The sequence below is a fragment of the Homo sapiens genome, chromosome 18 (assembly GCF_000001405.40).
Source record: "Homo sapiens chromosome 18, GRCh38.p14 Primary Assembly".
NCBI lineage: Eukaryota > Metazoa > Chordata > Mammalia > Primates > Hominidae > Homo > Homo sapiens.
This window is the reverse complement of record NC_000018.10, coordinates 5,931,334-5,958,775: the sequence shown is the minus strand read 5'-3', so window position 1 is coordinate 5,958,775 and position 27,442 is coordinate 5,931,334. Positions and strand designations below refer to the sequence as shown.

Sequence of the window (27,442 nt, the reverse complement as noted above, 5' to 3'; positions counted from 1 at the left end):
GGGCCCTTAAAGATTAGGGTGAGCATGTTTGAAGCACCGAGCCCTGTTCTTGTCCCAAAGTAGGGGCTTAATAAAGGCAGCAGTATATAGCAGAGGGTCTCCTCTGGGCTCCAACAAGCTCTGCCAGAAATCCCAACTTTGCCCCTTAGAAGCTGCATGAGCTTGGGCAAGTCATTAAGCTTGCAATTCCAGGTTTCCTCACCTATATTACAGGGTTATCAGGAGGATCAAACCCATATAATAGATTACTGTAGCTCCATAAATGTTAGCTGTTGTTGTCACCATCACGACCTTATTCTTAGGACAATGGGGTATTTGGACAGCAATTTTTGCCTGAAAATGCTGGAGCTTAGCCAGGTCAGGGTATGGATGTAGGCTCATTCTCCTCTGCCTTGGGGAAAATGCCTTTTCCGAGGGAAAAAGTGTTTCCTCCTCTAGATGGATGAGTCCTTATCAGACAATATATCATAAATGCACAGGAAGGTTTTAAAAACTTTTTTAAATATTATAACTTCAAAACGCTACCCTTGGGGTCCCAGGGTAATTCTATCAGTGAGACATTGACACTACAGGATTTTTCTTCCTCTTCTTCTTCGTCGTCTTCTTCTTCTTCTTGTTCTTCTTCTTCTTCTTCTTCTTCTTCTTTTTCTTCTTCTTCTTCTTCTTCTTCTTCTTCTTCTTCTTCTTCTTCTTCTTCTTCTTCTTCTTCTTCTCCTTCTCCTTCTCCTTCTCCTCCTCCTCCTCCTCTTTCTCCTTCTCCTCCTCCTCCTTCTCCTTCCTTCTTTTTCCTTCTTCTTCCCTTCTTTTTTTTTTTTTGAGGTGGAGTCTCTATCTGTTGCCCAGGCTGGAATGCATTGGGATGATCTTGTCTCACTGCAACCTCTGCCTCCCAAGTTCAAGCAATTCTCCTGCCTGAGTAGCTGGGACTACAGGCGCATGCCACTACGCCTGGCTAATTTTTGTATTTTCAGTAGAGATGGAGCAGGGGCGGGGGGTCTCACCATGTTGGCCAGGCTGGTCTCAAACTCGTGACCTCAATTGATCTGCCCACCTCGGCCTCCCAAAGTGCTGGGATTACAGACATGAGCCACCATGACTGGCTGGGGTTTGTATTATTAAATTTGAAAAGGTTTAGAACCACAGTTCTAAGTTCGTGGAAGAATGTTTCCATAGAAAACCCTTCCATTCCTGCCTTCTTGGTTCTGGAGCCAGGAATCATCTGAGCCAGGCTGTGTCAATCAGAGACGCTGCAGTAGTCCCTGGAGTTGTGCTGAGGTCACTGGGGCATCCAGAAGCTGGGGAAAGCAGCCTACACGGTGGCCACTGCCATCCTGTGAGTCTCGGGGAAGCTATTACTTTCATGCTGTAATATCTTTTTAATTTAAAAATATTTAATTGTCAAAACAAGATTGAATACATTCAAAGTGTATAATGTGATGATTTGATATACATATACAATGCGTGATGATTACCAAAGTCAAATTCACTCTTTCCATTACCACCCATGCCATACATCAGAGCCCCAGATCTTGTTCATCTGGAGCCAGGAATCATTCTGTGCAAGTTTTGAAATGTATTTTTAAAGTTTAATAAATAAAACATTTATTTTATGTGTATTTTTGCTTATAATGGTATGTATTCTTTAAAAAATTTAAATACAGGAAAGTTGAAAGGATTAAATAAAAACTAACCACTATTCTACATCCAAAGATAATTTCAGTTAACATTTGGTGTAAAGACTTCAAAATATTTTAAATATGCATATGTATACATGCAGCCATGCATGTTTAATTGTACAAAGTAAAACTGAAATCTTTCTCTATCATATACCATGTTCTGTTGTTTACTGATCTATAAAAAAAAAATTCCTAAATCATTAAATGTTTCAAGAGAGTTGATTTTGGGTGACTGCATAGTAGCCCACTCTGACTATAGTATTATTTACTTCTGATATTATTGGGAACAGTGGGTTGCTTTCAAGATTTCAGTATTATAAATAATACTAGCATATACACATTGCACATTATTCTCTTGGGAAAAATTCCTGGAGATTTACTTGGTTTTAAGGCTCTTGATACAAATTCAAGCCAACCTTTTTAAAAGACAACAATAGAAATGTAGCCTGGGAACAGTTCGTGTATATTGAATTCGTATTTAACAGCATGAGCATCTTTTCAATTTAACTTCAAAGTTCTAGAAGAAAGAATTGGAGTGGAGCAATGGTTGTAACTAAGCCGAGTGAGAGCTACCGTCATTCTCTCTCACTGGTGAGCTCAACACGGAGGCTATGACGGGTTCCACATCACACTCAGAACCAAAGTGTTACTGGTGAGTAAACAGGCTTCCGTGGCAAAACATTTTTATTTGTGTCTATTTATGTATTTGCAGCAGATCGATGGCAAAGCCTTCCTGCTTCTGACACAGACGGACATTGTCAAAGTGATGAAGATCAAACTGGGCCCAGCACTGAAGATTTACAACTCTATCCTGATGTTCAGGCATTCCCAGGAACTCCCTGAAGAAGATATTGCCTCAGGCCAAGAAGTCAGGGGATGAATGGGCTCCCTGAACTTCCTCTGGCACCAAGACCTGCGCTCTTTCAGCAATAAAAGTGGAGCACATTAATTTGATGTGAATGTCCCCATGGCCGTATCCACACTGAATCTGGACTTTTTAAAGTGTCTGTGATTTGTTTACATGTTTAGAGGATTTTGATGACTGGTCCAGTGCCAATGACTCAGAGGCTTAGGCCCATCTGTGGGTTTGGTTTACGAACATTGTTATCTTTGGTGGGATCCGCTCAGCTCTGATTTGTTTGCAAGACAGACCAAAGAAGCCCACACATCCACCTTTATTCTTCTCCGTCACCAGAAAAGAAACCATTTTCCATCTTACAAGCATAACACTCTCAAGTGGTGAAATATTAGAAAAGCAGTGTTCATGAATACATCGTTAATGTTTTTACCAGAGCAACATCGAGCTTGGCTCAGATCTGCCATGGAGCACAGCTAGTCTAAGAGCTAGAGGCCTGGTGCTTTCAAAAGACTTCATGTGAGATTTTTGTGTACTTTACTCAGGAAAGTGTGAATCTCTAAAAAATAATAATAATAAGCACATGTTTTCATGATTCATTAATTCTCCTTTTTGTTCCATTAACCATTTCTTGGTTGTGCTCCCAAGCTTTCCTGGAGCCTCCACAAAGGAGAGTAGCCAGGAGTAATGAGAGGACGGTCAGGTGGGCACTTCCAAAAGCTGGAGAGACCCTTCTGAGGACCCTCCACCATCAGCGGGGCCTCAGGGGACCCTGTCCTAACACTGGTGTGGCTGCTGGGCCAGACGCTCACCTGCACAGAACTCCTCCCTGCTCCCACTCTGAAGGGCGTTTCAGAATTGACTCATTTCCACTGCAGTCTGCCAGAACCCCTGTAATAAGGAGCTGTGTTATATTACATCTGGGGCTGTGTGCATCTTTACAAATGGAGACACACTATTCAAAGGGAAGATCTCTAAAGTAGGGAGCGTGGTACTTATTCTTTGTTTGAAACATTCCGATTTGTTGTCAGGCCTTATTTGTTTTTTGTAAGTGATTGTATCGGAGGCTTAAGTTGTGTGGAATCAGTCCCACAGTGTTGAAAGACAAGTACCTCTTTTCTGACACTTCTTACTACTTTTACAGGTAGTAACAGCTACAAATACTCTCCCAGAAGTGGAGGGACACCATTTGTGGGTGGGGAGAAAGAGGGAGAGGTTCTATGTCCACTTGCTTCATTAAGAATGTTAAGGTTTAAGAAAGTTGATTCTGCTTGGAGAATTTCTCAAGCTTTACATTTTTTTTTCACTGAAGAAAATAAACAAACTCTAAGAGGTGTGCATATATAACATTTCTTTAGATCTTTACCTAAAAGGAATTTTAATATATTATTGGTTGATGTAAATTTTGTTTCTGTGGAGTTTTGTTTGTTTTGCTTTTTGTAGACTGCCATGTGCAAGTAAAATTCCTGCTTCTGCCATGTTAAAATTTTAATATATTTTAAATGATAATAAACAGAGAAAACAAAATTTATACCTCACTACCTTAATGCATATGTTGATATGACCTGTGCCCATGCCACAGCATGGAGTCTGTTTTTTGTCAGCCATGGAAGAACAGAGGTAACGGCCCACATTAGCTAGCAAGGAAGTCAGCCATTTTGGAGTGCTGTCTTTCTTGGGATATATTTCCCAAGGGAAGCAGGTTTAGGTGTTAATAATTTGAGAGATTAAATGGGAGTTTTTAAAATTAATAAAAACCTCAAAATTGCTTATTGTATAGGTTCCATGGAAGACCTGAGATTTGTGGTTTGTATATCTAACACATGTCATTTCAGCAGTAGGGCCTTGAACAGGTTGCATAATACCAAATCAAATGGAGTTGAACTATTGTGCTCCTAGGAGACAGTGTGATCAGACAGAAAGGGATCGATCCAGGTATCTAGCTGCCTGCCAGACACCCCCACGTTGTCACTCAAGCACCTCAACCTTGAGGTATTCAACAGGGAGCTTTGATCCCTCCATTCTAATACTCCTTACCAAGTGAACGACGCCATCATCAGAGCAGCTGCTCAGCCAGCCTGGAAACTCAAATCACCTGCCTTTTTGTCCCTTTCTGTGGTAGAATTCTTCTTCTACCAACACAAAATCACTGGAGTTAGGAGGAGATGTGCAGACAGCACTGGAGAGCTGGCCCAGGCAGGCCCTGGCACACTGCAGACATCACAACCCAGCCAGTGCCCACCTTTTAGACATCTTCTGTTCCTGTCCACATCCAGGCTGGATTTGCACTGAGCTTCTTTATTTCTCCAAACTCACCCTGCTCCCAGGCCCCACTTTGTATTTGTGGGTCCTCTGCCTGAGGCCATCTCACCCTTCCTCTTCCCACTTCTCACTAGTCTTTCTGGACTCCATCACTATTCGGTTCCTGACTCACTTAAGAGCCCCACAGCAGCCTGCTCCTCCCCGTTGCATTGCTGTTCACTATTGTTATTACTTGTCTCTCATCCTTAGCCTAGAAGATCTGAGGGGACAAAGACTGGGTCTGGCATGCACATCATTTATTCTAAGCACCTAGCATAGGATCTGGCACTTACTTGGCACACAGTAAGTGATTTCTTGTATCAATGAACAAAGCGAGCCAACCCAAATCAATGCAAATCTCAGCTCTGCAACTTCCTAAATAGGTGTAACCTCTCTATAAATGAGAAAATAATACCTTCTCCAGGGTTTTGTAAAATTTTATTTTGCGGATGTCTGCATGGATGTGAGTGTAAACAGCACATATAAGGTGCTGACACCTGACAGCAGCCATTAAATAGGCATCAGGAAAACAACAGGAACAAAAATCCATTCCTTTAAGTCAACGGAAGACCAGACTTCCAGGAATCTCCTGGAACAAACCCCTTACGTTTGCATCAAGCCTGACACAGCCTTCAAGGACCCCTCAGGGCCCACTCTTCTAGGTGTCACTCATGTTTGGAGGAGCCCCTGGGGTGCTGTCAAGGGGCCCCAACTGCCTTGGACCACCTACATCCAGCTTCCTCCACCCAGCTCCCTTCCCCTTCTCCTGATGCTCTGCAGGAAGGTTTGCAACATAAGAGTTGAGATTGTTCACTCTGCCAGGAGGACCCCCACCACTCAGGGGCCAAGCAGCACCCAGAAATGGCACAGGTGGCTTGAAGACCTTGCTGCTCGTGGGCACAGCCTCAGCCTCTAACTCTGCTCCTCTTTTCCTGATCCCCTGGAATGTGAATTGAGTCAGGGACAAAGGAAAAAATTATCAACAGGGCTTCAAGAAACACGAACTTCCAGGTTATTAGAAAGAGTTCCCCCCAAGGACCATTTGTACATCACAATCATAAGTACACACCATGATGCTGGAAATTAGATCATTAGCATGAATCCTAAGGGAGCTTAGGACTTCTGAGACTAGAGTCTTTGAAAGCCTGTAATTTTAGATAACTCTTGCAAAAAAAAAAATAAATTTCTCTCACTTCCAGCAGCCCTAGGATATTAAAAAAAAACTATCATTCACAATCTTTGAACACCGCTTCTCCCCTGTGATTAGAATTCCTGACCTTGTAGAACCCACGTACCAAAGCATTTCTAAGACTGACAGCAAAAGAGATTGACTCGTTGTTAACACAGGATTCCAAGTCATGACAGCTTTCTTTTGCTCAGCACTGACTTTCAAATACACCTGGGATTTCTTGGACAAGTCATCTTTGTCCAAAGAATCTCCAACTTTTGAGTAAGAGTTGGAGGCGGTGAAGGATCATGGAAAGTGCTGGGGCTTTGGAGTGAGGCCCAGGGTTGAACCCTGAGTCCTACACCTTGTCTTGTTGTAGAAGTCAGTCTTAACCACCCAGCACATGACTGACTTGCCATATTTACTTATTTCTTTTGGAATGTTGAATTTTGCTTCATTTTAAGGAATATTCAGTTTGTCTCTGCAATTCCTAAGGCTGAAGAATGTGTTCTAGACTATGAAGTGTTCCTATGAATATATTCTTAATATTTGAGAATATATTCTTTGTGAATATTTTCTCTTGTAAATATTCCTCTTAAAAACACTCTTATCAATATATTCATGAAGAATATAATTGTTAATTGATTCTTAAATATTCAGAATTCTTATATATTCTTCCTATGAGTAAATATATTAATGAATAATATATTCATAAGAAATCTTTCTTCAAAAATACATTCTTGCTAAACTCTCTCAGTCTCTGTTTCTCTCTACCCTTCAGTTTCCAGCTGCAACAGGAGCTGGGACAGCTCAATGTCTCTACAGTGATGCTGTGAAGACAAAACAAAAACCGATTAACTGAAACTCAAGAGTTGCCAAGTAAATTTGCTGACTGAGTTAACAAGTAAATCCGCTGACTGAGCCATTTGGTGAATTGGCGATCAACAATTTGATTTCTCAGTGAAATTGCCTGCTTCCAGTCTTCGCACCATATATTCCTTTCAGGCAGACAATGGACTTTGAATCTAGTGATCAATAAAACACACCCCTGATGCCACTGACAGGCTGGGATGTACAGGTGTGTCCAGAGAGTGGTTAAGAGGCTGTGAAGGCTCAGCTCTTGAATGATGAGAGCAGAGGACCAAGCCAGCATGCTAACAGCAGGTGTCTCCCTCCCTTGGGCCCACAGTGTGCTGAGGGACAAAGCTGCAGATACCCCAATCACTGTGTGTGATGCTGGCACACAGGAATGACAGGAAAATCGAGGCAGGTCAGAGAGAAGGGTGGCAGGGTAATAAAGTTTAAGAACAACCTTTAAAAGGAAATGAAAAGCAAAAGGTGGCAGAAATGGGACTTTGAGTTTAAAATACTGAGTTTATTTTTCTCCATATAGTTTTATTTCATGGGATCAGACTAGTTGCTTTGTGCTTTGTTTTGCCTACAAGGCAATACCCATCAATTCCTCGTTTACTTCAGTTTGAAATTAGATTACGTTCCCTTTGATTTAGGAATCTAGGCATCAAGGCAAATTGATGCATGAAGAACACAAAGTGCTGAGAAATCCCAGGTTAAACTTAGATATTCCTACAATACATTGAACTGCAACCATCGAACTGCAACTAATGGCTGTTGTGTTAAATATGCATGGAGATTATTTGGATATGCAGGAGCCTGTATTTTACTGTGAAATGCTGGGGCCTGAAAGGTCTTTCAGTAGGAAAAAAAAACCCATCAAGAATTATTAGCTAATATTAACTCAATTTCATTTAAAAAATAAATAAGGTGTTTTTACAGGATCTCTACCTGAAAACGCACAGGTGTCTCCACCAGCTAGTTATGTGCATGGGTCAGATTTGTGTGGCATCTGGCTTCCGTGGAGGCAGTTGTTTATAAATTGCTTCATGATTTGAGGTTAGGATCTTCTCTGATAATTTGCCTCAGAAGGGAGTGAAGGTTTTGTTTTGTTTTGTTTCCAAGAAGAAGCAATTTGAATTTAATTTGGTCTGGCTTCTCCAATAAGAGTCAACAAGCCAATCAAAAATTCTTTTATTAAAGAAAAACTCACTCAGACAGGTTACTTGGTGTTGGTAATTGAATTCTTCTTTCATTCATTTTTTTTTCAACCAATTTGCAAACTTATCCTCCAGAGCAGCCAGCTTTTCTTTACAAAAAATTTTTTTAAATGTCTTTCACAAGCCCCTGTTAACTATCAATTTAAAACCAGATGTTGTCCTTCCAGGACCTTCAAAGAGATTTAGCCCTGTGTCTTTTAGGCTGGGAAAATTAAATATAAGAATAGAAGAAAAAATATCATCTATATACATCTATATTGATTCTGAAGTTTCCTTCAAACACATCAGCAAATTCATCTGAACAGATGTCCCCATCTGTCCATTGTGGAAATGGTTAAATTCATTCATTCAGCAAATATTTATTGCGAGTCCACTGTGTGCCAGGGTCTGTTGGCATTTGGGATATATCTGTCAACAAATCACATAAAAATCCCTCCTTTCATGAAGCTTAAATTCAAGTGGGTGCAAATGGAGAATATTTAATAAGCATAAAAATATGAGGGTGAATAGAGGAAGAATAAATATGGCCTTATGTGATGAGGATATGAACTTGCCGGTCCACAGATCTCACAGAAAATATGGTTAGGCGGTGCTGTTCAGCGCAATCCCTTGGCGTCTAGGTTTGCATTCACAAGGCACATAACTGCACATCCCCGGATGTTGCTGTGGTTCTCTCTAGGTCTTGTGCATGCCCTGCAGTTTGTGAACTGTGGAGATGTTCTCCTATCTCCCCAGAGGGCCTAGAACAATCCTTCACACAGAGGTGCCTCTCAGCACATATTGCTAACCAACTGGCTCATGGGTGTGGATATTATTATTTTATTTTTATTTTTATTTTATTTTATTTTTTTGAGACGGAGTCTCGCTCTGTCGCCCAGGCTGGAGTGCAGTGGCTCAGTCTCGGCTCACTGCAAGCTCCGCCTCCCGGGTTCACGCCATTCTCCTGCATCAGCCTCCCGAGTAGCTGGGACTACAGGCGCCCGCCACCACGCCCGGCTAATTTTTTGTACTTTTAGTAGAGATGGGGTTTCACTGTGTTAGCCAGGATGGTCTCGATCTCCTGACCTCGTGATCCGCCCGCCTCGGCATCCCAAAGTGCTGGGATTACAGGCGTGAGCCACCGCGCCCGGCTCGGGTGTGAATATTATTTTAAATACCAGTTTGAATGTTAGGAATTAAGCAACCTGTTAACCTGGAAATTTCTAGATCTTTTTCCCCCTGGATTATAAGTAGTAATTAACAAGAAGTAATCAGACAGACTTCTAATGTGATTAACTAAAATTGTCATCAGGCAGGTAATTTTAAATACTGCCATGCTTCAAACACAGACTCATTAATTTTAGCTCAGTGGTGTTCTAATATTTATTAAGCATACATAAGAATTTTAAGTATGCATATGTTTTCACATAGCTGTGCTTGGTAATCCTGCCACCCCCAGAAATTATCCAACACTTGATTCTCACAGCCCTCCAATAGGGTAGCTACAGATTAATGATATGATTTGAAAGTGGATATGATACTGAACTAAAAAGGATAACATCTTGACAATGTCTGGTTCAAGAAGGTGAGAAGACTGACCCTTTATGTGAGTCAACAGTAAGTACCTAGAACAGGTCCTGCCTTAGAATTCTTTTCAATGTCCCCCACAGGACAGACTTTTCAGATTAGTCATGTTGGTGCATGTTAATTTGAAAATTGCTTTCCCTTACAGGACACACAATGTTAGTCAAAGCAAGTTATTTGTTTTAAATTTATTTTGCTCTAGGCAAGTCCTCTTAAGTGGAAAAGTCTGTAAGTCATAACCCTTTGTTAAGATCTGAGCTAGGAGCAGACTTCTAGTCATAATCTTTTGAGAAAAAGACCAATTTTGCAAGTCTGGGTAGTCGTTTGAAATTTGAGAAGTCATTTGGAATTTGTGACAACTCTTAGTAGAGTTGGGTTGACAGAAACTTATTTCACAATTCAATCTATGTTATGTGCAGACAATTGGAATGTCTGCCTTCAGGAGGAAACAAGAGATAACAAAAGAAATAAGACTCTGAAAAATTTTAAGCTCCAAGTTATATACTTCACTTTTTACTGGTTTTAAGCTGGTTTTTCTTCCATTTCTCCATAGACAATAAATCATTACACACATCCTCCTCAGAAGAAACTTCATAGCATTCTCAACCCTGATGAAGACCTGAACATAAAGTAATAGATGAACATGACTGGAATCGTTGACTCCTGTGGTTATACTCATTTTCATTATGCCATTTCCAAAAAGTCCCCAGGAAAAGCAATTATATGAGCTCCTCCAGGGACTCATTCAATGTAGCCCCTTGAAGAGAAAGATTATGTCTTATAAAATTTTCCACCCTTGTAAGTGCTAGCACAGTGAATTGCACTAGCTGGGTAAATAGAATTTTATAATTAACAACTGTGTGGTACAGACGAGGCACTCAATAAATAGTTATTGAATAAACAAAAAAGAAATAAAGATGCACTTTTTCCTATCCAGTTTCTATTCTTCAAACTTCTGCTTAACATGTAAAACAGCTGGTCTCTCCTATTCCTATAAAATCATCTTTTATATTTTTTGAAGACCCTAATGAAATCATCACTTAGTCTTCTCTTTTCTAGACTAAATCCTCTTTTTATCATTTAGTATGGGTTTGTTTGTTTGTTTTGTTTTGTTTTTAATTCTAAAATTTTCAAGTTTTGCCTCTACTATTATTTTTACTTTTTTTCTAATCCTCATCTCATTTATCTTCACAGCTGTTTGCTCCATTAGAAAGCCCTCTCCCTATCTCCTGGTCCTTTGGAGGCCAGTTGTTATCACTCTGACCGGTGTCTTGTTTTCTGCCAACAATGCCATAGATATTTTCACTCTTTCAGTCCAACTCTTGCAAAAGTGTAATCAGTGGGACAGGAGATGGAAACAGCCCAGAAAGCCACTGAGACATGCAGCGATGAACATACTAAGCCTGCTAATGCTCAAAGACAAATCCCAGAGACTGTTATGTTGCTAATGGTTTGTGGAATGTTGCACCAAACAAGCCCCTTAATGAAGAGGCTTTAGGCAAATTAGAATAAATTAGAATGCAGCTTTTAGGCATTAAGGATGTTACCTGAGACCTTCTGCATTGCCTGTGTTTGGTGTCCTACGTGTCTAGCTATTTGAAGACTTTTCCACTGGACTCATTTCATATTTTTTTCTGCCCAATCTGAACGTCTTTCTCACTTATCATTAGTATTGCATGATCTAAGCACCTCTGATACTTTTTCAATATTTCCTGCAGCACCTTGCCCAAGGCTGAGAACATAGTAACTCAATAAGTAATAGCTGAGTTACATAAAGTTGGTTATGTAGAGAATTAAAATGATTTTTTAAGACCTGACTTTCAATCTTGGAACTGTTAATAAAATAACTTGCTTTAAATAAAGCTAACCCGTGTCAGCCAAATTATTTATGGTTCTATCTTTTTTGAGTGACTTATGTCATGGCAAGGCACCCAGGCCAATGTGACCTGTGATAACATGGATGTCACCAGAATCTGCATGGCCTAATCCAAACCAAGCAGACACCTCACTTGGATGAGAGCATTAGCAAAGGAGAAAGTCCTGCCTTGGTTGTCACTGAGCTTAGGATGTGCATGTAAGTATTCTTGGTTGATTCTACTCCAAGTAATTATTTAATTAGGAGCTTGGGGATAGGTGAGAAGAAAAACTAGTTTATAAAAATAATCTAGGGAAAACTAGGCAAAGCACTATTTATTAAGTAATTTAATCATTCATTCATTCATCCATCACATATTGAGCATTTACATACATCAGTCACTATGCTTATCAGATAAGCACAAGTAATTACATGTAATTTTCTACCTTTGACTATGTAATGAATAAATAATTGAATCATCAAATACGTGAACAAAAGTCAGAATTACAATATAACTTTTAAACAGTAAAAAGCCTTTAATAGTTCACACAAATTCTGATAAAATGTCTCAGAAAGTCTGAAAGATCTGAACCACTTAAGGTAGGGGTTTTCCAATGTTTTGGATGACATCCCCCAGAAAGAGACATGTCTTAAACACAACAGGCATGCACAAGTTTCTGCTCAATTGAGTTGGTTTCAGTTGTTGTTGTTTGTTTGTTTTTAACTCTGGTCCCAAGCCATTAAGTTGATTTCCTAACCGAAGGGTTGTGACCAAAAGTTGGAAAATGCTGCCATGGGTTACTTGACAGTGGTGGCTCTCGGCCCTGGCTCCACATCAGAATCAGTGAGAACTTTTGTAAAAAATGCCATTGCCTGGGCCCTAACACAGCCAAATTGAATTAGAATCTGGAGGCAAGTGCTGAGACCTGGTGTCTTTCCAAAGCTCCCTATATGATTCTAATGAGCAGAGAGGGTTACAAATCAGTACTCAATATAATGGAAATGTTCTTTTAAAATAACTATTTTTAATCATATAAGTAATATTTGCACCTGTGGAAAAATTCAAATAGCATAGATGAGTATAACATGAAAATACATCTTTGGCTCAAGTCTTTACCCCTCACTTCCACTGCTAAGAGGTGAATATTATAAACAGCTTCTTGTGTATCCTCCCCAATATTACTGGGTTATTAATGGATTATTGCATACGGGAGTCTATGGAGTTTCCTCAAACTTATGTTTCCAAGTAACTTTAATACTTTATCAAGATATAAAAGTGCCTGTTGGCATTTTGATGAGGATTAAATTGGATCTATGGATTTAATTTAGGGTAAACTTATGCATTTACAGTATTGAATCTTCCTACCCAAGAATATGATAGGTCTTTGACAGGTCTTTCTACTTATTTATTTTTATTTTTTTTTTGTCCTTCAAGAAGTGTTACACGTTGTTGTTTTATTTAATAGCCCCCCATTTATTTTTAGAGATAGGGTCTCACTCTGTCACCCAGGCTGGAGTGCAGTGGCACAATCAGATCTCTACAGCCTCAAACTCCTGGGCTCAAACAATCCTCCTGCCTCAGACTCCACAATAGCTGAGATGACAGGCATGCACACCATGCCGAGCTAATTTTATTTTTTTGTAGAGTTGGGGTCTCACGGTCTCAAACTCTTGGGTTCAAGGGATCCTCCAGCCCTCCAAAGTCTTGAGATTATGGGCATGAGCCAACATACCTAGCCTATATTTTTAATTAAATTTATGTCTAGGCACATTATCTTTTTTATGCTATTATAAATGAGATAATTTGCTCCATTATATTTTATAGCTGAATACTATTTGTTTACTGAAATGCCACTGAATGTGGATATTCATTGTGAAACCAATCCACCTAACTGAACTATCTTCTGCTGGTAACAGAATTCCTCCAATTGATTCTTTTGCAGTTTCTAGGTAAATAACTACATTGTTTGAAAACAGTAATAATTTTGCCTCCGTGGTTGAAGTATTTATGTCTCATTTTTTCCCTTATGTAATTGCATTGATTAGTACTTTCAGAACAATGGGTTTTAATTTGAGAGGCTTGCAGAAAATAGCATCTATTATAAAAATGACTTACAGCTAAGAATTATGTACATAATATATATAGGCATGTTAAGACTGAGAAAAAATACAAAGAACTTGGTAAAATCACTGTTGATAATTTCTTCAACTGCCTTTTTTCTCTAAAAAGTCTGTCGATTTTAAAGAAAATATCATTCCCCCATGTTTGTGAATATCACAGTAAGATTTTATCATGAATATTCACCACTGTTTTGCCCACATTTTTTAACTCTCCTTGTCAGGTTTGACTTCAGTCTTTGTAGCTTTATAAAAATGTCTTAGAAGCTGTTTTTTTATGCTTTGGAATCATTTAAATAGAGTTGAAAATATTGCTTGAATTTAATTCATACGCTTTACCTGAAACTTCTGATCTTGATGTTTTTAAAGCTTTTGACAAGTTCCTATTGTTTCTCCACAATAATTTATCTGTTTTAATAGATCGGCCAGTTAAAATGCAGGATTTCCAATTAAATTTGAATTTCAGAATAACAACCAATGACTTTTTTTTTTTTTTAGTAAAAGTATGTCCTAACTGTTGCGTAAGACATACTAAAAAATTATTTATCTAAAATTCAAATTTCTGTATACTAATTCTGGCAACTCTAGTAGTAGACTCTCTTGTAGAGTAAACCTTGGTCATAAATATTTTACTGGAAAAATTTAATTGGTATTTAGGTTTTCAAAAGTTTCAACATAGCATTGAGCAGAGTGGTCTCTTGAAATATTTTCTCATTCCTAATTTTGTGACTGCTCCCATTTTCTTTATTGGGTCAGTTAAGGGTTTGTTATTTTATTGGTTAAATGAAAAGCAACTCTTGGAATCATTATCTGTTCTTTCTACTTTTCTAATTAACAAAATAAAAATACCTAGGTTTATGTCTATTTTTTCCTTCCTTGTACATTCTTTAGGTTAATTTTGCCATTCCTAGGGGAGATTCCAGATAGAGACAAAATTCTGGAGTTCCCAGAGAGTGGTTTATACTGTGCTGAGTAAGTAGGGGGTGAGAAGAGAAGACGACTCAACTGTGTAACATTCCTTAAAAAATTCTAACATTTACAGACGTGGTAAGAGAAGAATGAACTCAAAAGGAAGCCTGAAGGAGTAGCCAGCAAGGCAGATAGATCCAGGAGAATATTAAATCCCTCCAGCACTTTAAGTCTGGGCTCATTCATTCATAAAATGGGAATAATATTATCTGCATGCAAAATATTAAATGCGTGCAAAATTCCCAACGTATAGCAGATGTTCGAGCATCGTCATTAACTGCCAGTCCCTCTGCTGCTGGGATAAGGTCCTCTGCTGCCCATGCCCAGGTCTAAGTCCTGTCGGTTTTCTCCACTCATCTTGCTTATCGTCTCAGGGGCTCTCTGCCTGCCCTCTGCATTAACTTCCTGCTCCATCATTGTTCTCAGAGCCTGCCACTCATAACTTGGAGACTTCATTGCTGCCGCTGCTACTGCTGCAGTTTCTGCCCTGCTCTTGGCTGCCTGCCCATTTCTCCTCAGAGCTTGGTTTCCTGCAGGCTCATTTTCATCTGCTGTCCTCTCATCTCTCCTTGAGGCTTCCCTTTTTCTTTGGTCTTTTGACTCAGGACAGCTACTGAGCCTCTAGTACCTACAAAGAACCCCTACCAGGAGCGTGGCCACATTGGCGACTCCTTCCTGCATTACACTGATCAAGAACCGCAGCCCTGGGACCAGTCCAGTGTTCACCCAACACCAGCTCCCATCTACTCTGTCTCTTCAGGCTTTAGGGTGACTCGTGGATCTGACATCTAAGCAAACCCCATGATCATCACCTCAAAAGCCTAGAAGAAATTATTGTCTTTCCCTTTGACTTTAGACTTGAAGGAAGAGCTTCCAGGTAGAAATATTACTTACTTTAGGAGACAACATATTTTTTGAAATGTGATCTTGATCTCATTCCTCTTTTAAAAAAAGTAGACTGAGCTAGGCATGGTGGTTCATGCCTGTAATCCCAACACTTTGGGAGGTTGAGGCAGGAGGATCATGTGAGGCCAGGAGTTCAAGATCACCCTGGGCAACATAGCAAGACTCCATCTCTAAAAAAAAATTGAAAAGAAATAAAGTAGACTGCTACTCCCACAGCTGAAAGATGAAACAGAAAATGGTCATCCCAAATATTCATAAAACATCATTGCCACTGACACATAAACTGCTCCTGTGGAAGGGGAACATCACTCTTCAGAACTTTTAGGCTCTTCCTTTTCCATCTTATCTGTGTGATGCATTCAGTCAACATCTGTGGATGCTACTTACAGTTTGTTTTGCTATTGCTCTCATGCACCTGCCAATACTGTAGCCACAGACCACACGTGGCCATTTAAATTTAAATTAACAGTGAAGTTAACTCAGTTCCACAGTCACAGCAGCCCCACTTCCAGCGCTCAATAGCCACGTGTGGCTCGTGGCTGCCAGATGTGCAGCACAGATTAGAGAAGGCTTCCATCACCACAGAAAGTTCTGTTGGGCAGCGCTGCCCTCAGCTATTACTGTGGATGCAGAGCCAAAGAGCTTTACGCTGTCACCCTTGGAGAGCAAAATCAGGCAGATTAACCCCCTGAGTCTTGCCATCCTTATTTCCAGAAATGACAGCAGTTTGCTGCTACTGGAGATTGAAAGAGCCCAGAAGTGTCAACCCAGAAAACAGATCTTTTATTCAAAATTTTTCCATGTGGAAAGGAAAATGTCATACGATGTCATCCGAACTTTGGTTTCAGAGTTCCTTTTATATTTTAAAGAGAAAACAAAAGAGACAATGATTCTTGTTTTCCTTTCTATTTTTTTTCCTTCTTAGTCTTTAAGCAGTGAAGCAGACTTGAGAACAATGCTCTTTTCTCTGCATCCAGCCTACTTCCCAGCTTCTGGGATCAGAGGAGAAGAACAGGTGAAAAAAACACAAAGTCACCTTGTCCCTTATGAAATACTTATGTAACATTGCATGGATCCAATGTACATAGCACGGCAGTGTTCAAATGCAGCCTGCTCTGTGAATGCCAAGATGGAAGGAGGAAGCAAGCATCTTCCCCCTTCTCCCCTCTCCTCTCAGTTCTTTTCTCATGCAAATGGAAGCTGGCAAAGCCTCCTGCTCCTTCTCCTCTGAGCACTGAAGTCTTTTGCTCAGCCCAAACATCATCACTGCACTGCAGTGAGGGGCCACATGGAACGGAGCAACCATCTGCCTTGTGCCTGGGGAGGGTTCCCTCTGTGGAGGCAGCATTTTATGGTAGCAGGGAGAGTTCTGCGGAAAGGTTTGGCTCTGTAGACAGGAGGGCTGGAAATCAGAGATGTGACTTCCTGGAGTTTTACAAGATCATCTGCCTTCTCTTGGAAATTCTCAGGTTGGAATGTGAGGCTTGGCAGCTGCTGCCACTGCTGCTTACAGTGATAATAACATCAATAATACGAATATTCACCACCTTTTCACCCGCCAACTTACTTCATTCTCATAGCAACTCTACGAGGTAGGTCCTTTTACCACCCTCACTTTACAGATGCGGAACTTGGCACAGGCAGCTCATATCACCTGCTCAAGATCACACAGGCAGGGAGCAGGATTTGAACCCAGGTATTCTGGATGTACAGGCCACACAAACCACTATGCTGGTAGCATGGCAGCAAATGGTGCTGAACAAAACCCTGAGAAAAATAGCCAAATTTGCCACCATTCCTCATTCTGCATTTCAAATTGTTTTCTAATGATCTGGCCCAGCTAGTTGCTAACAAATCCCATAGGGCCAGTCAGCTTGGTACAGGGTAGACTTTGCAAAGACACATCACACGGTGCACTCCCAACCTCCCTGTCCTAGTCTGTTTGTGCTGCTGTAACAAAATGCCACAGATTCAGTAATTTATAAAGAATAGAAATTTATTTCTTATGGTTCTGGAGGCTCTGAAGTCCAAGATCAAGGTACCAGCAGATTCAGTGCCTGTTGAGGGCCTGGGCCTTTTTGCTATATCCTCATGTGCTGAAGAGGCAAAAAGGGATGCATGTTGTGTTTTCACAGCAGAAGAGATGGGAAGGCCAGGCCAGGCTATTGTCTGAAACTATTGTGTGTGTGTGTGTGTGTGTGTGTGTGTGTGACAAGGTCTCACGCTGTTGCCTAGGCCGAAGTGCGGTGGTGCAATCATAGCTCACTGCAGCCTCAACCTCCTGGGCTCAAGTGATCCTCCTGCCTCAGCTTCCAAAGTAGCTGAGACTACAGGTGCACCGCACCATGCCCAGCTAATGTTTTACTTTTAATAGAGATAGGGTCTCATTATGTTGCCCAGGCTAGTTTTGAAATCCTAGGCTCAATGATCCTCTCATCTCAGCCTGTCAAAGTACTGGGATTACATGCATAAGCCACTGCACCTGGCCTGAAGCTTCTTTTATAAAGAGGCCTCGTGACTTACTCACTTCCCGAAAGTCTCTACCTCTTAATACCACCACAATGGGCATTAAGTGTCAACATGAATTTTGGAGGGACACAAATAGTCAAACCATCACCCTTGCCCAGCAAAATCACCCTGAACCATGCATTTATGGTGTACAGAGAGAGTCAAGAAAGAGTGGGGATGGTGCAGTCCAAACCCTTGTGCTCGTTGGGGAACAAAAAGTGCACAGTTGATGAATAGTCCAATGTTTGGTTACAGGAAAGACATCCAGGTTTATTCCTTTATTGCACAACATTGATTGAGGGCTCAGGATGTGTTAGTTGTGGTGTTATGCTCTGTGAGGTAGCATGTCCATTGTCAAGTGATCAGGCCCTGGGTCAGCCTTCTTTCAGCCTCCTGGATGCCTACACATCCGGGGTCACATCCAACTGGGCACTCCTCTCGTGGTTCTTCCTTAACACAACCTCTTCAAGCTCCTCCCCTAGATGACACCATGTTGAGCTCAGCTGCAGCAGCAGTGAATTATACAGGGTGGGTGCTCACTGAACAATTTCTAAATGACTGAGTGAAGAAGTGAAGACAGCTGTGTCCTGGATGCCTCCACTGAGACCAAAGGTATCTTGGGGCTTTTGAGAACAACTTCAGTGGCCTCTATGCTCCTGCCTTTTCCCTCTCACAGGAAACTCACATGGCTGAGCCTCTGGATCCTGGCTTTGAGAACTGCTTCTCAGAGCTTCTCATCTGCAGATTGCATCCCCTGCCAGCCAAGGGCCCCGAAGTCTGTCTTTAAGGAGCTGAACATCTGGTTAATCATGGGCCCAAGAAGCAGGTGCATGGCCCACAGCTGCAAGATCATGTGGCTGCTGAGGGCCTGAAGTCGCAAGTCTAGCTCCATCTATGTGCCCACCGCCTTCCCAGAACAGCACTCCTCCTTGCTTCTCTGGGCCTGCATCGGTTGGCAATGGGCAGTCTGAAAGCAAAAGCCCATGATGGTTTTCAGCCACAGGATCTCAGCAAGGCTTTCTTCCCACCATGGCATGGCTGGTTTTCTGAGCCCGCTAGGCTTTCTGCAAACAGTGCTTCAGTAAAACCTAGGATGCAAGCAGAGGCCGTGCTGTCCCCCCAGGGAGTCTCCTCTTCCCCAAGGGGCTCAAACTGTTGCTGCTCACTTTTCTATTAAGACTCTATAATCCAATGAGAGATTTTATAACATAAAGTTAGGAAATAATTCTATATGTTACAAGCAGTAATAAAATTAATACTGTGAAAATGTGTTTGCCTTAAATATAACTGCAAAGAGGTTATGATATAGAAATATGTCTTCAAAATTAATAACATCATGGTTAATCTAACAGACTATCAGGCAATGGACATAAATAACGTAAGCAAAATTACACATAGCCATAAGAGGAAATATTTACTATTACTAGTAATCAAATAAATGTCAAAGGTTCAAATAATAAAACACCATATATATGTATAAATATATATAAATATATATGTATTATATATATATATATATATTTTTTTTTTTTTGAGACAGAGTCTTGCTCTGTTACCAAGGCTAGAGTGCAGTGGCGCGACCTCGGCTCACTGCAACCTCTGTCTCCCAGGTTCAAGTGATTCTTCTGTCTCAGTTTCCTGAGTAGCTGGGACTACAGGCATGCACCACCATGCCGGGCTAATTTTTGTATTTTAGTAAATACAAAATACAAAATACATGGTTTCACCATGTTAGCCAGGCTGGTCTCGAACTCCTGACCTCAGGCAATCAGCCCGCCTCGGCCTCCCAAAGTGCTGGGATTCCAGGAGTGAGCCACCGTGCTTGGCTAAAACACCGTATTTTGATGCTGAAACATTTGTCAAATGATGCAAAGGCTATGAGGCCAGTGGACAGGGAGGCAGACACACTCACACTCCATCCTCTGGCCCTTAGAAGGACACACTTCTTGAAAGACTTGTTGAACTCTTTGTCTTTCTTTCCTGACCCCAATAACACAAGTCAACACCTAGCATGATGGCGCCTTCCTCCACCTTTCCTAGCATCTGTGCTACCAAAAATGACCACTGAGCACCTTCTTAAATCCAATGGAGACTTTTCCACTATCATTTGAAGTGATTTGTCAACCACAGTGTCACTGATATCCAACTCTGTACTTTTATACCTTCACACCATGGACTTCTGTGGCCTCACTGCAGCCCTCCTCCTGGGCTGACTGCTCCTTTGTAAGCTTCCCGGCCTTTGTCCGTGTCTGCTGGCCTCCCTGGCTCTGTGTCAACTCATAGGGCCATCTCAGTGGCCTGTATGGTGGGATGTATCTGAGGCAGGTGCTGCAGGAGGGCTGTCCCTTTGGCGACCCTTCCAACAAAATAATCTGTAACTAATTGCTCAACCTGTATTCAAGACCAAAGCTTGCAAAGCTTCCCAGAAAAGCCAATGCCCCTAGAGCTGATCAGACACCCTCCCCAGAGGAAGACTTTTGATTCTCTGTCCTTGATGGTCTCACCGCCTCACCCCAAATGACAGACCAGAACATTTCTCCCTGAGGGAAGGTCTTGAGAACATAATTGTCTCTTATTGGTGCTTTTTAGCCCCCTTTCTAGGTTAGGTGCCGGGTCACAGTTGCTGGCCTGCTCCTCGCTCCATCTCAGTTCAGATCAATGACTCCCAACATATTGTCTTCATCCTGTAGTTCCCCCTGCCCCCTAGCTCCAGACCTGTAGCTATAAGAGCTCACTGCCTCCCCTTGAATTTCCCCTTCAAATGTGGTAGATTCAAAGTGAAACAAACTCAACTCACCAAGCACCTGCTCTCTGCACACCTCCAGCCATCTCCTGTGCCTGTGTGCCCTCTCTGCCTGCCTGGGGCCACCACCCACCCAGTCATACACATAGGACAAGCTCAAGAGCCCTCCAACTCACTTAGTCACTTCCCCCAAATCAGATGTGACTGAATCCTATCGATTTTGCTTCCTAAATAGCCTGGGAACAGCCCCTCTCCACTCTGGCTGCCATTTTCCTATGGAAATGACAGTGTTTCTCACCTAGATTACTTTCACCACCTCCCACATAGCCTCCCTGCCTCCAGCCTTCTCCCTTCTTGGATATGCACCAAAGTGACCTTTATCTAATACCCAGGGTTAATCACTTCCCACTCCTACTGAGAACATTTCAATGGCTCCTTATTGCCCCCCAGTTTCTCAAATGCCTTAGATCAGTGGTCACCAACCATTTTGGCACAAGGGACCAGTTTCATGGAAGACAATTTTGCTACAGACCAGGGGTTGCGGGGAGATAGTTTCGGGATGAAACTATTCCACCTCAGATCATCAGGCATTACATTCTCATAAGGAGCATGCGCCCTAGATCCCCTGTGTGCACAGTTCACAATAGTGTTTGCGCATCTGTGAGAGTCTAATGCCACTGCTGATCTGACAGGAGGCAGAGGTCAGGCGGCAATGCTCGCTCATCTGCTGCTCACCTCCTGCTGTGGGCCCTGTTCCTAATAGGCCACAAACTGGTACTGATCTGTGTCTCGGGGGTTGGGGACCCCTGCCTTAGATGATACTAATAATATGGCCTAGTTTGTCTCTGCAAACTCCTCTCTCTAACACCTTACTATTCAGTATTATTGTGCTCCTTTCAGTAACTTGAATTCCCCTATACTTTCTCTCAAAAATCCTTGTACATCCCCTTTGGACAGACTGCCCGGGCACCCTGTCTCCTCCTGCTCCCCTCGGCTCCTGCATACTCTCCTCAGGCCTCAGCCTGGATGTCCTTTCTTCAGCAGCATCAGAGCCCCCCGTTTCAGGGGCAGGCATTCTAGTTCTTCTGCTAGTGCTGTCTGACAACACCAGGGGCTTCACACATCTCGCACCCAAATGAAACACCCTATTGTAAGTGCTTCTAAACTTTCTCTGTTTCCTGCAGACCTATGAGCTACAGAGGTCAAGCAGTCCTGCCTCTTTCCTCTCTAGCTACAGGGCCCAGGACCCTGTATAGTCTGGGCATTACCATCAACCCACATTCACTAAGATAAAGAAAGGAATACACTATGAACTTCTAAAATGTACACGCCCTAAGAATCTGTCCAAGAAAGTCATTAGAAATATGGACCAAAGTTTTCTGTACAAATATGTTTAAAAGTCATTTATAATAGAAACATACTGGTAATAACATAAATGTAAAACAGAAAAAGAACATCCAAGTGAATGAGATGCATCTATGTAGAAAAATGCTGTAAGTAACCAGTATAATATTATCTGTCGCAAAATAGGGAAAATATTAGGATGCACAGTTGTATACGACAATTTAGTAATATTTTACATCTGTATAGGAAAAGACAGGAAAGGAACAAGCCAAAATATGAATAGGTTTTACTTGTAAGTAATGCGATCGTGGATCATTTTCTTTTTTTTTTTCTATGCACTTTTCTGTATTTCCCGAACTTTCTTAATTGAACTTTGATAAGCAATACTTTTCTAATTGCAATTACGCATGTGTGCATGCTCATGAGCACACACAGGCACGTGTCCTTGGACTTCACAGCATCTAAAGATCAGACTCAATGGGCAGGGCTTTGGGTCCCTCTTTGAGAGTGACTGTGCTGGGGACAAGCTGTGAGGTTCTAGAAGGATGTGCCCATCACATCACAATCCGGCTGCATGCTTCTTCTGCTTCCTTATTAAGTTCAGATGCCACTGTGAATACCAATCATCCTTCCCTCTGTACATCCACACTTAGGGACCCCTGTCCTTCAGCCCAGAACTCTTCTCCACCTTTTAAGTCAGCCTCATCCAACATGCATGCTGATGTTCCCCAAGTTCTTGAATTGCACCTGAACCAAATGCACCTTTTTGTCAGATTTTTATCTTTCCTTTGTTTAATAATGGAGACAACCACTAGCCTTGAACCTACTAAGCAGCTAGCTGTGCTGCTGACTCGGGGAAGGTGGATGCTTACAGCTGAAAGGTATGTTCTGCATCATCAGTATCAGTCCTTTATTTCATAAATGAGAGAACTAAGGGCACACATAGCAAGAAAGAATGAAGCTTAAAGCAGATGGTATGTCTGTGGGTTGTATCTGCTATATATATATGTGTGTGTATATATATGTATATACACACACACATATATATACATATATATATATACATACATATATATATATATATATATTTTTAGAGATGGAGTCTTGCTCTCTCACCCAGGCCGGAGTGCAGTATCATGATCTCAGCTCACTGCAACCTCTGCCTCCCGAGTTCAAGCAATTCTCCTGCCTCAGCCTCCCGAGTAGCTGGGATTACAGGTGTGCGCCACCACACCTGGCTAATTTTTGTACTTTTAGTAGAGACGGGGTTTCACCATGTTGGCCAGGCTGGTCTTGAACTCCTAACCTCGTGATCTGCCCACCTCAGCCTTCCAAAGTGCCAGGATTACAGGCGTGAGACACCTCACCCGGCCTATCTGCTATATATTATGTGATGGTCTAACATGGCCTCTAACCTATGTTTTCCTTTAAAAAAGTATCTAATTCTTTTAAGAACCAAACCTTTAACATGCTGATTAACTTCAAGGCATTTACCCAGGGTGGGTCTGAGAGAAAAATGGAGCATTTGGGCCACTCATTCTGAGTTTACATTCTACAGAGATACTCATAAAAATGATATAAATGGGAAGGCTGAAAAGCAAGATCAGCGAATTACTCAGGGGTCTCAACCATTCTCCTACCCTCTAGAGCTCTTCTGGATATTCCCAATGAGTTCTCTTGGCTATTCTGTTCTGTTAAGTTCTGTTCTAGAGCACTGGCCATTTGGCTCCTCTCTGGCTCCAGCCTCCATCATTGCTGACACTAAAACCATCAGTTATACTTCTAGTGCTTGCCAAAGTTGCGGACTGCCAACCACAGCTGGTACTGTCCAGGGCCTGCCCTGAGCACACTGACATCTGCCCGTGCTGAAGATGCAAAGCCTGTTGCAGCAGGAGCTGCTGGCACCAGCCCTGATCATTCCCTCCTTTTGCAATGCCTCAGCTCTTTTATTTCCATCTGTTGTTCTATGATAGGCTGCTCTCCCCACGTTTCTGATGTGAGTCCATGTGACCCAGGCTCAGGGACAATGCAGAGGTGGATATTTACACTCTTCAGATACCTCCACCCCTCTAAAATACCCTCTAAAATACCCTCTTCAGATACCTCCATCCCTCTGAAATACCTCTAGATGGATGGAGGTAAGATACCCGCCATGACCTCAATGAAATGTATCCTGCTCAAGGACCCTTTCTTTCTGTCTGCCTTCTTTTCCAAGGTTTTCCTTGGTTCCTCATACAAATAAGTCCTGAGCAGTCCTACCCTGCTCCAGGATTCCAGTCACCCAGACACAGCTAAATCCTGAAGCGATTCAATTGAGAATTCTCACCACATCTTGATACCTGTGATGGGTCAAAAACTCTGAACGTACGAGTATCCCTGGCATCCCTCCCTGTCCAGTCAGGTTCCCCTCTCTACCTGCACTCGGGAACAATCTGCTTCACTAGCTTTGTTCTTAGGCTTGCATGATGCAGACTCAGGAGAATTAAGAGGAAAAGAAAGAGGCACCCAGATCAGAATTGGGAAGAACTTACTGATGGTTGCAAAAACGAGAAACAGGAAGAGTGGCTGCCGGCCACCTGAGTTATTTTTTAATTTGTTTGTTTGTTCTCATGGTGTGCTTCTTTTTTCTGGGCAATCTCTCTTACGTTGGATTATGTGTGGTTCACGTGAATCTTGGCTTCAATAGAATGACTTATTATTTGTTGGAAATGTACTAGTGACTACTGGAAATGATTTACCCCTATTTTCCTCCATAATGTATATGTCAAAAAAGCATAATAATATGCCATGTCTACAATGTTACTTGGATTTGGGGGCAACATGTTAGATATCTGCATGAAATAAATAACGTTCTAAAGAAAACCACTACCACTTTTGTGTATTGAACATCCTAGAAATGCTACAGAATAGTCAGAGCATTAAACTTCAGACTGGGCGCGGTGGCTCACACCTGTAATCCCAACACTTTGAAAGGCTGAGGTGGGTGGATCACCTGAGATCTGGAGTTTGAGACCAGCCTGGTCAACCTGGAGAAACCCCGTCTTTACTAAAAATACAAAAATTAGCCAGGTGTGGTAGTGGGTACCTGTAATCCCAGCTGCTCGGTTGGCTGAGGCAGGAAAATTGCTTGAACCCAGGAGGCAGAGGTTGCAGTGAGCCAAGATCACGCTACTGTGCTCCAGCCTGGGTGACAGAGCAAGACTCCGTCTCAAAACAAACAAACACACTAACAAACAAACAAAAAAACCCTTCAATGCCAGCACTCGGGACCAGAGTGTGAAACATTAGACTCAATAGCAATCTTGCTTTTCTCATCAGACAAGAGGATATAAGTCACTACAATACTGTACAGAACTTTCGAGTTGCCAAGTAATTTCTTACATATTAGCTAATCTGGATGTTCATAACAGCCTGGGAAGAGATGGAATATATAATTAACTTAACTTGAAGATGAAAATACTGAGGTTCAGAAACATGTTAAATAACTTAGTCAAGGTCACATGGCCAGAAGGAGCTGCTGCTGATGATGGAAAAGTTGTTCAGAATCCAGATGAGCCAAATATCCCTGAAGCCCTGATGAAATTCTGTTGAATGACTCAAGTGCCTTCGATACTGTCAGAAGAGTGGGAGTACTTATTAGTTGATTGGGAATGGAGAGATTGAGATTAATGTAGATGTTCAGACATGAAAGTGAAGAAAATAAGGTTGCTGTTAGTTTAATGACTTCACACAGCGATTATGTAATACTCTGGGCTCCCCATGCCCCATGCTGACAGCTCCATCAATAGGACATGGGAAAGTGTGCAAATTCCTGCAGTAACTTTGCGTTTTGATAATAATTTATAATGATTGAGTGAAATTTCTGAACTTATCAACCAGACAGGAGGAGGAGGCTGAAAATTCTTAATCCAGGAACTTTGCAAAGTTGCTGACAATAGATTTTACAGCCAAACTGTCTTTTTACATCAAAGTCATTTGAGTCTGCATTGGCAAGAAGAGGGGAAAACTGTCCTAAAAATTTATTTAGTTGATTGATACAAAAATACAGGCAAAAAAATGCTATGAGGGTGGTGGCTGATGTTTTCTGACCTGAACAGCATGACAGAACCATTCTCCAGTTGGTTATTGGGTTTCATGTGCATAACTGTGTGTAGCAAGGGAAACCCAGGTTTATCTCTTTTGGTATAAATTGTAATCTCAAAATTACTTGGAAAAAACTGTCCCATTAAATACATTAACAGTCAGAGTCCTGGGTAAAATCTACATATCTTAGGAATGACCTTGACCTACGTCCATGCTAACTTGCAGCATGATCTTGGAGATGTCCTAAAAATCTAACTGCTCTTCACTTAGCCTGCCTAACACATGGACTCCTCCTCCTCTTTGGAGAGAGGAGAAAAGAGTCTGTGAACTAGTGGTTATTTTGAGGATGTCGAAGGACATGATAAGATGAAAAGCAAGAGATGACTATCTGCATTCCCTGGACACATTGACTACCCTCCTCACTAGGTGGCTGTGAGCCCATCTCCATGACTTTCCAGGGAACCCCATAAGTGAGGAAGCACTAAACTGGCTACTCCACTCCCTTTCTCTATATTTTAAGAACGTCTACTCATCTACCACTTCCTCCTTCTGAAAGCTTTTCCACTCCCCAAAATGATCTTTTCATGTTTACCCCTCTCTGATTTTACAACTCACAACTCTTTACCTCTAATTTAGAATATTTCTTATGACACATCTTGAATTTTCATCCTTTACTGGTGGCAGAAGCACATGGAATCATAGGAATTTACCAAGTTTTTCTTCTTTACCTTCTAATGAGGGTGGGTCTCCCATGAGATCCTTGTTTTGCCAAACTCTCAAGAACATCTGAAGAAATGGGAACACAGAGCTCACATGAGGCATGAGAGGGAAGGATAAAGAAAAAAGGGACAGAAGGAAAGGAAAGAGAAGAGACAAGAAGCATGCTATGGGAGAAATAATTTGGGGGAAGAGAAAAATATTCAAAGAGGATTTTTAGAAAGTTTGGCTGCATAATGTGAGATGTAACTTCCTTCCTTGTCTCCTGGTATTCACCCTTCAGAAACCTTTAATCAGAATCTTCAATAGGTTCTGTGTGTGTGTGTGTGTGTGTGTATTTTGATGCGATGATGTGCTGAGACTGAAGTTAAGGGAAAAACATGACAGCCTGGATACAATCAAATTCTACACTGTTATACATTTTCTTATGTAACTTTTCATGTGTGCATGTTTTGCATCTCTCTCTAAATTACAAACTTATTGAAGATAATAATTTGAGGCTAGACAATTATTCTCTGTATCTAACATATTGCCTATCACCATGCCTTACATGTGAAAAATAC

At 41.6% G+C, this 27,442-nt stretch overlaps 1 protein-coding gene and 1 long non-coding RNA gene across 24 annotated transcripts in view, besides 1 other annotated feature; one reads left to right on the top strand and one right to left on the bottom strand.

Moving 5' to 3' along the window:
- The window catches only part of L3MBTL4 (L3MBTL histone methyl-lysine binding protein 4), a 460,543-nt gene extending 456,484 nt beyond the window's left edge, over window positions 1-4,059 (top strand). For 13 of the 22 annotated variants that reach the window (NR_158610.2, NR_158609.2, NR_158611.2 and 10 more), the window contains one exon: window positions 2,389-4,059. Coding sequence is in view for 19 of the 22 variants with exons in the window: in NM_001365765.2 (NP_001352694.1) it covers window positions 2,389-2,556 (168 nt within the window). In the remaining 3 variants the exon portion in view is untranslated. Of the gene's footprint in view, window positions 1-1,212; window positions 1,334-2,388 lie in introns of all 22 variants that reach the window. The other 9 variants (XM_047437914.1, XM_017026074.2, XM_011525760.2 and 6 more) reach the window with 1 other exon arrangement.
- LOC121725015 (uncharacterized) overlaps window positions 1-27,442 on the bottom strand; it is a 93,648-nt gene that overhangs the window by 30,599 nt on the left and 35,607 nt on the right. The gene's annotated exons all lie outside the window — the stretch shown is intronic.
- Window positions 16,423-16,931: an enhancer, noted in NCBI's record as "OCT4 hESC enhancer chr18:5941844-5942352 (GRCh37/hg19 assembly coordinates)". NCBI's record gives its function as "activates a minimal SCP1, AML or CMV promoter by ChIP-STARR-seq in primed H9 embryonic stem cells {active_cell/tissue: H9 hESC(primed)}" and the evidence as "EXISTENCE:reporter gene assay evidence [ECO:0000049][PMID:30033119]".